Source organism: Homo sapiens, chromosome 3 (genome assembly GCF_000001405.40).
Source record: "Homo sapiens chromosome 3, GRCh38.p14 Primary Assembly".
Lineage (NCBI taxonomy): Eukaryota > Metazoa > Chordata > Mammalia > Primates > Hominidae > Homo > Homo sapiens.
This window is the reverse complement of record NC_000003.12, coordinates 16,494,449-16,506,915: the sequence shown is the minus strand read 5'-3', so window position 1 is coordinate 16,506,915 and position 12,467 is coordinate 16,494,449. Positions and strand designations below refer to the sequence as shown.

At 44.0% G+C, this 12,467-nt stretch overlaps 1 protein-coding gene across 8 annotated transcripts in view, besides 3 other annotated features; it reads left to right on the top strand.

Annotated features, from left to right (window-relative positions):
• Positions 1-12,467, top strand: part of RFTN1 (raftlin, lipid raft linker 1) — a 197,855-nt gene that overhangs the window by 6,784 nt on the left and 178,604 nt on the right. The gene's annotated exons all lie outside the window — the stretch shown is intronic.
• Positions 8,003-8,504: an enhancer, noted in NCBI's record as "NANOG hESC enhancer chr3:16539919-16540420 (GRCh37/hg19 assembly coordinates)". NCBI's record gives its function as "activates a minimal SCP1, AML or CMV promoter by ChIP-STARR-seq in primed H9 embryonic stem cells {active_cell/tissue: H9 hESC(primed)}" and the evidence as "EXISTENCE:reporter gene assay evidence [ECO:0000049][PMID:30033119]".
• Positions 10,438-10,607: an enhancer, noted in NCBI's record as "active region_19547". NCBI's record gives its function as "activates an Ori minimal core promoter by ATAC-STARR-seq in GM12878 lymphoblastoid cells {active_cell/tissue: GM12878}" and the evidence as "EXISTENCE:reporter gene assay evidence [ECO:0000049][PMID:35858748]".
• Positions 10,628-10,757: an enhancer, noted in NCBI's record as "active region_19546". NCBI's record gives its function as "activates an Ori minimal core promoter by ATAC-STARR-seq in GM12878 lymphoblastoid cells {active_cell/tissue: GM12878}" and the evidence as "EXISTENCE:reporter gene assay evidence [ECO:0000049][PMID:35858748]".

The following is a 12,467-nucleotide window of genomic DNA, read 5'->3' as shown; positions in this document are numbered from 1 at the left end:
ACCATCCTGTACCAGATAAGTGTCTTTCCTATTCCCGAAAGATGCTGCTAAGTAGGTATTTATTGTGCATCTGTTATGGGCAGGGCATTGGAATAGCTGCTGTTGGGGATGAAGAAGACCCGCTTGCTGCCTTCCAGAAATTTACTGTCATGTAGGGAGATGAGGCATTACCAAGAGCTGTGGAGCTCTCCTCTGAACTCGAAATGGTACATCCAGCGGCCTACTGCATACCTCTGCTTGGGTGGAGTTAACATGGCTAACTCCTGGCTTCTTCTACCCATCTCAGAAGATGGCCACTCCAGCCTTGCAGGTGCTGGTGACCAACCCTAGAGGTGTCTTGGATGCCCTCTTTTGCTCATCCCCTTTTTCCAAATCATCAGTCAATCCTGTTTTCTGCCTTCAAAACATATACAGAATTTGACCACTGCTCACACCTCTACTTACTGTCATCTGGGTTCCCTGCTGTCATGGTCAGTCATGGCCAGAGTAATTGATGTCTTCTTTCAGCTCGAAACCTTCCAGAGGCTTCCAACTCAGTCAGGGTAAAGCTGAAGTGCTCACGGCCCGGCCAGGCCTACGCTCTGTCTCCCCAGCCCTGTTTGACTTCACCCTGAGGTCTGCTCAGCCTCCCAGGGGCCCCACACCCCAGCTTGTTTGCACCTGCCACTGCCTTGCCTAGCCCACCCTCCCCCTTATCCCATGGCTCGCTCTGTGGCCTTCCTCATGATTTTGCTTAAACGTCACCTTCTGGGTGTGGCCTTTCCCAATCCCCGTATTTAAAACACTATACCTCCTCCTGTGATTGCTATCCCTCCCCCCTGCATTGTTGTTTTCTAGTTGGCATACTTTAAAAATGGGATTTTGTGTATTATTTTTATTTGTTTGTCTATTGCCTGTTTCTCGGCTTCTGAAGGTAAGGTCCATGAGGGCAGGCGTGCTCTTTTATTGTGTGAATCTCTTTTGTTTTACTTTGGTATCACTGGCATTTAGAACAGGGCCTTGCACATAGTAAGTGCTCATTACTTATTTATTGGATGAATCAATGGCCTAGAGTGGCAATCCTGTTAGAGCTCAGCCTTGAAGGAGTGTGATGGTTAATTTTATGTCATTTTTTCCTAGGCTACGGTGCCTAGTTTTTGGCCAAACACCAGTCTGGGTATTGCTGTGAGTTATTTTTTAGGCATGATGAACTTTGAAATCAGAAGACTTGGAGTAAAGCAGATCACCCTCCATCATGTGGGTGGACCTCATCCATTCAGTTGAAAGCCTTAAGAAAAAATACTGAGATCCACAAGAAGGAACTCTGACTCCAGACCGCCTTTGGATTCAAGATTGCAACATCAACTATTCTCTGGGTTTCCAGCCTTCTGGCCTGCCCTGAAGATTTTAAACTTGTCAGCCCCCCAATTTCATGAGCTAATTCCTTATAATAAATACCTCTATTTGTCTCTCTCTATCTGGGTACACACACACACACATCTGACTGGTTTTGTTTCTCTGGAGAACCCTGACTAATAGAGAAGATGAGAGGTACGGGAAAGGAATGTCAGGTGGAGGTCCACTGGAGGAAAAGGGTGGTGCCTGGAGAGTTCTGAGGGTGTACAAAAGATTGCAGTAGCTTAGCCTGACTTCACTCTAGGGTCAACTGTGAAAGGAAACAATGGGAGGTAGGACTGGAAAGGAGGGAGGATGGAGGGAGATTGAGGCTGAGGACTCCAAGCTGCACAGCAGATGTGATTATGCTCTTTGAGCCACTTGTGTGGTGTAAAATGGTTAATGTGGGAAAAGCTGGAGATAGGAATTAGATGGATGAGGGGGAGGCAGATTCCAGGAAAGCGTTGGTAGCTGTTGCGATGGCAGATTGGTTTGGAGAATAAAGTGGAGGAATGGATAGCATCCACCAGCTCTGGATGGGCCAATGTCAGGGTGAGGATGGTGGCGGGAGCAGGCTGATACTGGGGTTTTGGGCCTGGATGTTGGGAGGGCAGTGGTACCACCCAGAGACGAGAAATGCAGGAGGAAGAGCAAGCTTGTTGGGCAAGGTGCTGCATTCTGTGGGGCATATTCTTCCAGAAGTGCTGAGAAAGTCTCAGGTGAAGAGAGAAAGTTCCAGGTGGAGATGTTGAAACAGTTCTTGGAGATGTCTGCCTGGAGCTGGAGAGAAGACAGGCAGGCTGGGAAGGGAACTGGGGAGCTCTTGCCTGGAGCAGGTCAAGTTAGGGCAAGAGAGGGAGTGTGAGTGCTAAGGGAGAGACAATAGCATGTAAGTAACTTTTTTGAGCATACATAATACTATGTATTGGTGGTTCCCAAATTCTGTGCTAAGATACCGCAAGGCACTGCAGCAAAGGCACAGGGTGGCCAAGGGATATTTCACATCTTTGAGGGAAATGCAGCAATACTTAACATCTGTCAGATACCACGCTAACTACTAGCTTGAGGCACTTCACAATATCAACATCTGACAGTACCATATTACTCTTGATGATGTCATATCTTTACAAGCTACATTTTGGGTAGTTGCTAAGAAAATCAGTGTGGAACTGAAAATGAGGGTGGTGGTGTTCAGTGTGGTTCCAAGTTTTGAGAAGTTGCTCAGTGTCCAACAGATGCACACATCCCATTAGCAAGTAATTGTGGTTAGTTAAGAATGAAAGAAAAAATATTTCTTCTTTCAGTTTATGTGTGCTATTTTTCTGAAAGGCTGCTGTTGTTAGGCTGTGAATAAGTATTAAGTTGTTTGGACCTAACTACTTAATAAAACGAACTATTGGGTATTTTTTTTTTAGTCTAGGGCATGCCATTAAAAAATGTACAGAGAAACTAAGGGCACTGTGAACGGAGAAATCCTCAGAATCTCTGCCATATGTTGTTCTGGGTGTTATATATAGATTGTAAAAGAGTACACGCAGGGATAGAAAGATAGGGAGACAGGGAATGGCATGAGGACTGTGTCCAAGATGTCTATTTATCCAAAAATAAACTATCTGAAGCAAATAAGGTAAAAATGTAAGCACTTGTGAAATCCAGGTGGTGGATCCATGGACATCTCATTTTCTGTACTTTTCCATATGTTTGAAGTGGTTTATAATTAAAATAATTTTGGAAAAGTGAGGCAAGAGGATGGAGGAGGACAGAAATGTAGGAGGTGCCTGTGCTTGCCTGGGAGGATGGCAGAGGAGACTGGGAAGGGGTGTCTGAGGTAGAAAGAGATTCAAGAGATTGAGGGATGTGGAACTAAGCAGATCCGTATGGCTGAGCTCTGAACTGTGGTTCTCAGTCCTGGAGGTGAGGGTGTAGGAGAGATCCTGGGCCCTGCTGAGTCCTGGCTATTAGGAGATTGGAGAGGGCTAGGAGTGGGAAAAGACTGGGTTTGCTCCTAGAGCACTGATGCTCAACCCTGGCTGCATGTTAGCATCACTTGGGGGTTTTAAAAATAATGGTGCTCTGGCCCCACCCCTAAATGCCTGAGCATCAGGGCTTTTAACAGCTCTCCAGATGGTTCCAAAGTGCAGTCAAGATTAAGAGCCACTGCCACAGCTCAGGGTTTCTCAAACTGTACTGTGAGTCAAACTTTAAGGGATCATTTATTGCTCAAATACAGATTCTGATTCAGCAGGTCTGGGATGGGGCCTGGGATCCTGCATTTTTAACAAGATCCTGGATGCTGCTGCTGGTCTGAGGTCCACATGTTGAGTAGCAGGTTCTGAGTGGGAGCTATTTTTAGCGAAGGGTGGCTGGAGAGCAGCAGAGCAGAGATGGACTCAGGTTCAGACCCCTCCTGAGACAGACTGAGATGGTGGTAGGTGTGGGAGTTGGAGGAGTGGGGGTAAGCAAGTGTTTTCTTCTTATAATGCAAACACCACTCCTATTAGGTATCTTTTATTGTGTAACAAATTACACCAAAACTTGGCCGCTGAAGAGTCAGCTCTCAACCACTCCACAATGCCACTTCTCATATAGGAGCAAGACTTCTGTTAACATGAACTGCCTGGATTAATTATCTATTGATGGGTGGTAAATTGCCCTAAAACCTGGAGGCTTAAAACAACAAACATGTTATCTTGCATGGTTTCTCTGAGTCGGGAATCCAGAAATGGCCTAACTGAGTGCTTCTGACTTAGGGTCTCTCATGAGGTTGCAGTGAGGATGTTGGCCGGGCTGAAGGCTGTAGGATCTACTTCCACATGGGTGCTGAGTTAGTGCTGACTGTTGGCAGGAGGCCTCGTTGCCCTGCAGTGGAACTTCATCCTGCTGATAGAGTGTCCTCACAACATGGCAGCTGGCTTCCCCCAGAACGAGAGATCTAGGAGAGCGAGGTAGAACCCACAATGTTTCCTATAAAGTAGCCTGGGAAATCACACTCATTTCCACCATATCCTTCTGGTTACACAGGTCAGCCCTATTCACTGTGGGAGGGGACCACACAAGGGTGTGAATACCAGGAGGATCACTGAGGGTCGTCCTGGAGGCTGGCTGTGATATCCTTATTGTTTTCTTTTCTTTTCTTTCTTTCTTTTTTTTTTTTTTTTGAGACAAGGTCTCACTCCGTTGCCCAGGCTGGGCAGTAGCGTGCAGTGGCACAATCATGCAGTGGCGAGATCATGGCTCACTGCAGCCTCAACATCCTAGGCTCAAGCAATGTTCCCTCTTCAGCCTCCCGAGTAGCTGGGACCTGCCATGTCCAGCTAATTTCTTTTTTAAATTTTTTTGTAGAGACAGAGTCTTGCCATGTTGCCCAGGCTAGTCTTGAACTCCTGGGCTCAAGTGATTCACCTGCCTTGGCCTCCCAAAGTGTTCTTATTGTTTTCAACCATGAAAATAATGCATGCTCAACAAAGAAAACTTGAAAATGTAGCCCATAGTGTCATGACTCAGAAAAAAGTTCTGCTAACAGGTGGTTTATGAACTGCCAGTTTTTCAAAAGTATGGATTTTATAAACAAATACACAGGCACTTTTAAAAAGTGGTACCATATAAACCGTTAATACAGTTTGATATAGATTGTTCTTTACATCTGGCATTGGATCAGGAACACTTTCGACGGGTACATTTTAGTTTTCCTAGGGTTTCTTAGACTCTGTTGCAGGACAGCAAAAAGTCTGACACCATCTGAATACTCTACTGAACTTTTAAGTTTAATTTATATTTCTGGATCTAGAGAGATGTCGTTATCATGTAAAGACTTTTTAATTTGGATGATCAGTTCTTACTTTGGATGACTGAATGAAGTAATAAACATGCTTGCGTCTTCAAATACAGAATTTGAGTGTAGAGATAAAAAATGGGGTTGCCAGCTGATCCAGCATCATTGCATATAATTGCCCCATCTCTGGTTGCTTGTCACGAGCTGTTGGCATTTGTTAAAATTAGCTTTACAGGCTGCCTTAGATTAGCAGCAAGTGTGGCAAATGAGGGCTTACTCTTAATGAAGCTAATTTGTATTTGAAAATATAACTGCATTTATTGCCCCCATTATTTAAATGCATGCATGCTAGTTGATAGTAAAAATGAACTTTTAAACTAAGCCTTTTCTACGTTATAGCTGAAAAATAGTCTTTTAAGAAGGTGATCCTTTTGAAGTGGTTTTCCAGTCTTTTTATGGGCATCGTGGGAAGCATTTCAGAAACAAATTAGGATACTTTTAAAATAATAATTTAAACATTTCAACATTTAAAATGACACAGGACATTGTGCCGCATTGCTGGTCAGCTTCTTCTGGAGCCAAGTATTTGGCGCTGTGCTGTGTTTGTGTGTGTGTGCGTGTGTGTGTTTTGTTACAGACAAGTCTTGCTCTGTCACTCAGCCTGCAGTGCGGTGGTGCGATCAGAGTTCACTGCAGCCTCGCAATCCTGGGTTCAAAAGACTCTCTCACCTCGGCCTCCCAAGTAGCTGGGATGACAGGTACACAGCACCACACCCATCTCTGTTTTATATAACAGCGATTTGTTCCGAATGCTCCCGCATTCTGTCCAGACTTCCCGAACAGTCAGCCATACTGCACCATGGGTATCTCGTCATTGTCTCTGTGATCTCCCTGAGGGCAGGGCCTGGCCTTCCCAGTTTTAGTGTTTCCTAACCAAGTGCCTGACTCAAAGCAGACCTCAATAAATGTGTGTTGAATGAATGGATGGATGAATGAATTTGGAACATAATTTCCCTCCCTCATGGAACTGATAGCTCCTGTAAGAAGCTGATCCACCGCTTACCAAAGAGACATCCCACTTAAGGTTTGATTCAGCCAAAATTTTTTCCAGAAGATCACCATTCAAGGGATCTTTGTTTCCAGATCATTTGCAATGTCTGTCATCTTCTTCTTGCAGTTCGGGTCTCGGAACCTTCTTCTGATTACTTTATTTTCCTCTTTAGAAAGCATCCAGTTCCTAATTACCCTTACCAATTTCTGCTAGGGAACTGCATATATGCTTTGATTATTTCCCCACTGTTTCACCATAGAAATGGGGAAAGACCTCTTCCATTTCCTCTACCTTTGAAGACTTCTTGGAAAGTTTTTCTTGGTACCTTGATGCTCGGGAGACCCATACACATAGTTTCAGGGATGTCTGCTGAGAAAACAAAATATAAAAAGAGAAACAAATGCCTGGACACCTGTCAATCAAAGCTGATCCAACAATGAACTCACACATAAAATAGGTAATCTGATTGACATTAGGTGTCAGTGTGAGGTGAGCATAGGAATTTGGAAGGGTGGAGCTGTGGGAGCAGGATGGAGCATAGATGAAGTACTGGGGGAGTCTCACTAGACACAGGTGACTTTTAGCATGTGTTTTTTACAAAAACAAGCAACAACCAGAGAAAAAGTCAGTGAATAGCACCGCTGGGCATGATTCCACCTAGTGGGCTGATGCCTCAGTTGAGCAGGGGCTAGCTGATCTTTGAGAGATCTCACTTTCCATACACTTTTCATGGCGGCAGTATCTGGACATCCTACATGTGTAAAGAGAAGCATTTTTTCATTAACAGGGCTCCTGCACTTATCATATAACCCAACAACCCCACTCTTAGGTATTTACCCTAGAGAAGTGAAAACTTATGTCCATATAAAAACCTCTACACAAATGTTTATAGCCACTTCATTCATAATCAGCCAGTGCCAGAAACAACCCAAATGCCCTTCAAAGGGTGAATGGCTGTAACAGGGACCTTAAAAGCAGGCCAACTTCAGCAGGTGCCAAGGAGGCGGCAGGCCATGGTCATTTCGAGCAGACTTGGTATATAAGTTGCTTATGGTATAAATGAACCACTCCAAAACTTAGAAGCTTAAAACAACAACAGTAGCTTATTTTGCTCAGGAATCTGCAGCTTTGGCAGGGCTTGGTGAAACAGCTTGTCTTTGCTTAACATGGCATCAGCAGCTTGACTGAGGCAGAAGCTCTACTTCCAGCATGGCCTGCTGGCAAGATGGCCAGCAAGTTGGTCCTGGCTGTCGGTTCCTCTCCACATGGGCCCCTCTTTGGGGCTACTTGAGCTTCCTCATGGCATGGTGGCTGGATTCCACGAGCAGGCACCCCAAAAGTCAGGGAGTAAATGCTCTCAAGTTTCTTAAAGCTGGGTCCAGAAACTGGAACTGTGTTATTCCGTCATATTCTATTGGTCAAGCCATCCTGGAGCCCAGATTCAGGGTAATTGACATAGACCTCACCTCTCAATAGGCTCAATAGGAGGAATGTCAGTGGATTTTGGAGCCACATTTAAAAACCATCCTACTTACCATTTACCTTCCACCTTACTAGAGACTTTGACCCATGTGAGAGATGTCCTTCTACTGAGACACTCCCTGAATGTCTGTGTGCGGGAATGTGCAGCACACCTGTGTCTTCTGTCTGCATCTGACAGTACTATTCCTTAGACCTTTTCCTCTGCCTTCCCTCCCACTGCCCTCAAAAGCAACATACCCATCTTTTGCCTCCATCCTCTTGCAGGATTCTAATGTGAGCATGGTTTGGGAATGTCACATGGTAAATAATATAGTCTACAAAACTCTACAATAGTGTGCAAGTCACTGTTACAGCTGATTTTTCCTACTTTTTATAAGCTAGATTTTTCTGACTTGTTTTGAGCATGGTATAGACATTTTTGAAATGATGTAAAAGTCTTTCCTATTTTGACAGGGGTGGGAGTTGGTGGAAGAATCCAGGGCGAAATGAAAGGAATGCCGGTGTGGCAGCAGGGAGCAGGCTAGCTGCCTCTACACAAAAGAGTAGGAGGAACTAATTCACACTAAGGTTTTGATGGCCAGCAACTACTTCCTGTGTCTCCCTTTCCAAAGAGGGCTGTGCTTTAGAAACAGTTGCTTAGCCAGGGTTGCACGCACTCCAGAGAAATCAGTCTCTAAAATTTGAGATTCAAGGATTCAATGATATTACAGTTTTGCTGCTGGCTGGTATTTATTAAAAGAAAAACTTGATACAAATTAAATTTAACAGAGTTTGAATGAGCAAAGAAAACTTCATAAATTGGGCAGCCTCAGAACCAGAACAGGTTCAGTGACCTGCCTGAAACACATCCTGGCAGTGTTTTGTGTACAGAAAAGAGAAGTGAGGTACAGAGACAGCTGGCTTGGTTACATTAATTCACTGCCTGTGATTGACTGCATTCTGCTGCTGTGATTGGCTAAGACTCAGCTATTTGTTACAGAAGTTTACATCCTAAGTTAGGCTTTTATATAGTTTACCTACTAAACTAAGTTGCAGTCGTTATGTAATGACTCAAGTATGGAGGCATCGTCAAGCCAAATTTGGTTTAATGTAACATACTCTTTATCTTTTCTGTGTCTGATCACATGGATGATTTGCCCAGAGCCCCTTTATGTCCTGTGATATCAAGCACAATGCCCTTTGGGATGAGCTGGGGCAGAAGCCTCAAGGTTGGGAGTCTGATTGAAACTTTAAACTCTTGTGAATCACAAGAGTTTTCTAATGCTTCTTGGTACTCTTCTGATCCCCACCCCAACCCTTTCCAAACCTTTCTTCTCATCCTGGTAACCCTCTCCTTTCTGCTATCAGGGAACCTGTCCTTTATCAAAGAAACTAAATATAGATTAAAAATTATAGACAAAATAAAATCAAACTAAAGTGGTAGTGGCTACCAGGAGCTTAGTTTCTTGTCCTTCCCATGGAGATATTTGTCATTTAAAAGCAGATACTTAGGAAAGGTAATTCTGATTTCAAAGGAATGAACCTCTAATATGAGAATTTACAGAATAAGGTAGCAAAAGTGGGAGGATTTTTGAGGAACAAGCTCCTTCTTGGAGGTCTTCAAACACCTTGCCTTCCAGAGCAAGGCAGGTCTGCCTGAGTATGCAGCAGGGTGGGCATGAGAGCCTTCCCTTGCTTGCCAGCCTATCCGCTCCTCATTCAGCCTTGGTCCCATCAAAGTCTCCAGCAGGGCCCAGTAGGGAGAACCTGCCGCTACCCATTAGAAGCTGCCACCAGCCTGATAGAGAGAAGAGTCCTTTCGCCTTCTCAGAACTCTGTAATGTATACACAGTGGCTTTATTGGATAAGCTAGCATCAGATGAACATGCCTACTGTAAATATTGCTTCAGTTTTTATTCAGAAGAATTGAGACCCAGTACGTAGATGATTTTGTGTTTTGCCTTTATTCCATCCTCACGTTATTGTTGGAGATGTATCTGTGCATTTGTAAGGTCACAGATTTGTTTATTATTTTTGAACGTTTTAGTGTAAGTATGGGAAAGCACACAAATCAATACAGAGACTGCTCAGTGGCCCAGTGAATCGTCACAAACTGACACCCAGATCAAGAAACAGCAAAGCTGGTACCCTAGAAGCCCCCTCATCCTCTATGCAGTCACTGTTCTCCCAAGGGTAACTGGCACCCCAGCTTCTAACACTGGAGATGAGTGTTGCCTGTTTTGGAACTCTGTATAACGGGAGTAAGAAAGAATGTACTTTTTGTGTCTGGCTGCCCCCACCCCCACTCCTTTTTGATTTTTGAGATTCATTAATGTAGTGTGTAATCCTAGGTTCCATGTTTTCGTTGCTTTATAATATTTCATTGTGTGAATATACCATAATGTATTCATCTATTCTCCTGGAAGGTGTTTGGGCGGTTTCCAGGATGGGGCTGGTATGAGTAATGCTACTGTTAGCTTTCTCATACGTGTCTTTCGATGCCCATATGTACACATTTCTGTTGGTATATACCCAGGAGAGGAATTTCCGGGTCACAGGATAGGCATGCGTTCAGCTTTCCAACATATTGTCAGTTTTCCAAGGTGGTTGTACCAATTCACACTCTCACCATCAGTGTAGGGGAATTTCATTTGCTTCTTATCCTTGCCAACATTTGGTATTATCAGTTTTTAAAATGTCGAGCTATTCTGGTAGATGCCTGTTAAATCTCACTGTGGTCTTCCCTTCATTTCCCTGATGAGTCATGAAGTTGAGCTTCTTCTCTTATGTTCCTTGGCCATTTGCATATCCTCATGGGTGTTTGTTGGGGCATTTCACCTGTTTGCTGTTGGGTAGTGTATCTTTTCCTTATCAATTTGTTAGGCGCTCTTTGATTCATGGTGGATGTGAGTCCTTTGTTGCATGAATGCATTAGTGTGCAGGAGCCAACACACACTGGCTTTTGAGAGCTGATTTTAGCATCTCTTCCTGACTCTGCCTTCTGTGGCATCATGTTTGGCAGCTTGAAAGCTGCCATGGTGGGTGTGTTTACACCACAGAAATAGGCAAACTACAAATCGGGGCTTCCTCTCTTTCTTGGAGAGCTGGTTTACCAGTGCACCACTTGACAAATGTATTGCAAATAGCTTATTTCAGTCTCTGGATTGCCTTTTCACTCTTTAATGTGGGTTTTGAGGAACAGAAGTTTTAAATCTTAATATAGCCCACATTGTCAAAATTTTCTTTTGTAGTTAGAGCTTTTTGTGTCCTCTTTAAGAAATCTTTGCCTCCACCCCCATATTTGTTTACATGGCTAACTAATCATAATCAATTTTGCTTAACTTCCCCCCTACTGAAGCAGCACTGCCACATACAGTTATAAAGATTGTTCCCAAGGGGGGATGCAGGGGCTTAAATCCAGACCTTGCTGTGCTCAGTAAGACATGGCTGGGACAGGGCTGCATTCCTCAGAAGAGGGGGCACCTTTTTCGAATTCTCACAAAGGCACCATATGGGCTAGTGGTGGGATCTCTGACACCCTAAACCCCACGCTGCCTCTCTGGCCTGCCAAACCACACTGCCTGCCCTTTCCCTTCAGGTAGGGCAGCTTCCTGCCTCCATGCCTTTGCTCTTGCTGTGCCTCCATCTCTACGTCATCAAATTTGGGATCTGTCCAGCAAAGCCCATCTCAAATACCCAATCCAGGTCCCTGCCATTTTCCCATCTTGTGTTATAGCTTGAATGTCCTCCCTCTTGTAGTAGCCTAACCTCCTTGAGGGCAAAGACCACATTGTTTGAATCGCTAATAATGCTTTGCCTGTAGTAGGCATGAGTAAATCTGCATGAATGAGTGACTTGGCGAGCCTTTGGGCTCTTTGCAGAGAGTAACAGTGCACATCTTGACGGGCTACGTGTTCCCAACACTTAGAAGCTTCCTTGTCCATTTCTTTTCTGCTTTGTCCCAGTGGATGCCAGCCGGCTTGCTTTTCAGCAGTTAAATATGCAGCCTTTTACATATCAGCTGTTTCATCTGCAGAACTACAGAGTATTTTACAAGTAATCAGTTCATGCAGATTGCACATAAATCATGTCTGCTCTGGCCCTTTGGATACTCATGTTCCTTTATTAAGGCATAAGTAAGCCTTCCTGTTCTCATCCATTCTTTCAGACTTTTTTTAATTACTGAAAAGTAGAGCCTGGTTGTCGCTACACCGTCTCCTTCCACTCCACCCGCCCCATGCCCTCGTTGCTTTTCTGAGGTTCAGTTTGTTTTTCTGGAGCTTGCCAAATTGCCTTAGGAAGCTGGGTACCTTGTAAATGAATTAAGCAAAAGGAAATTCTTATCTCTAAAAGGAAGCGGTCACTGGGTTTCTGTGTGTGATATTCTTGGCTGGTTAATATTTTTGTGAAATATGTTCTGATGGCAGCAGTGGTACCCCAGAGAGGAGGAAAGCATCGTTTATCCTTAGTACACAGAAGCAAAATCTCTTCTGCTGAAGTTGGGAGAGTGGATGAAAAGCTATTTCGTGAAAGTCATTCTGCCCAAATAAACAGAGAGCCTTCATTGCTTTTAATCCCATGGAAGATTGGAAGCTCAGCTCACCTTAATGTGCCCATTACTTTAACATTTCTTTATTTTCTTTTCAAACTGGAACTACAGATTTTTGCTGTAATACACGTGGATTTCTGCTTCCAATTGCTCTATCCCTGCTATTAGTGTTCAGTCAGTTTTCATTTTGGTCTAAGATGACTCTCTAAGAGCTTGGAAGTATAAAATTATTTCCTGCAGTTTGGTCTAAAAACGAAGAA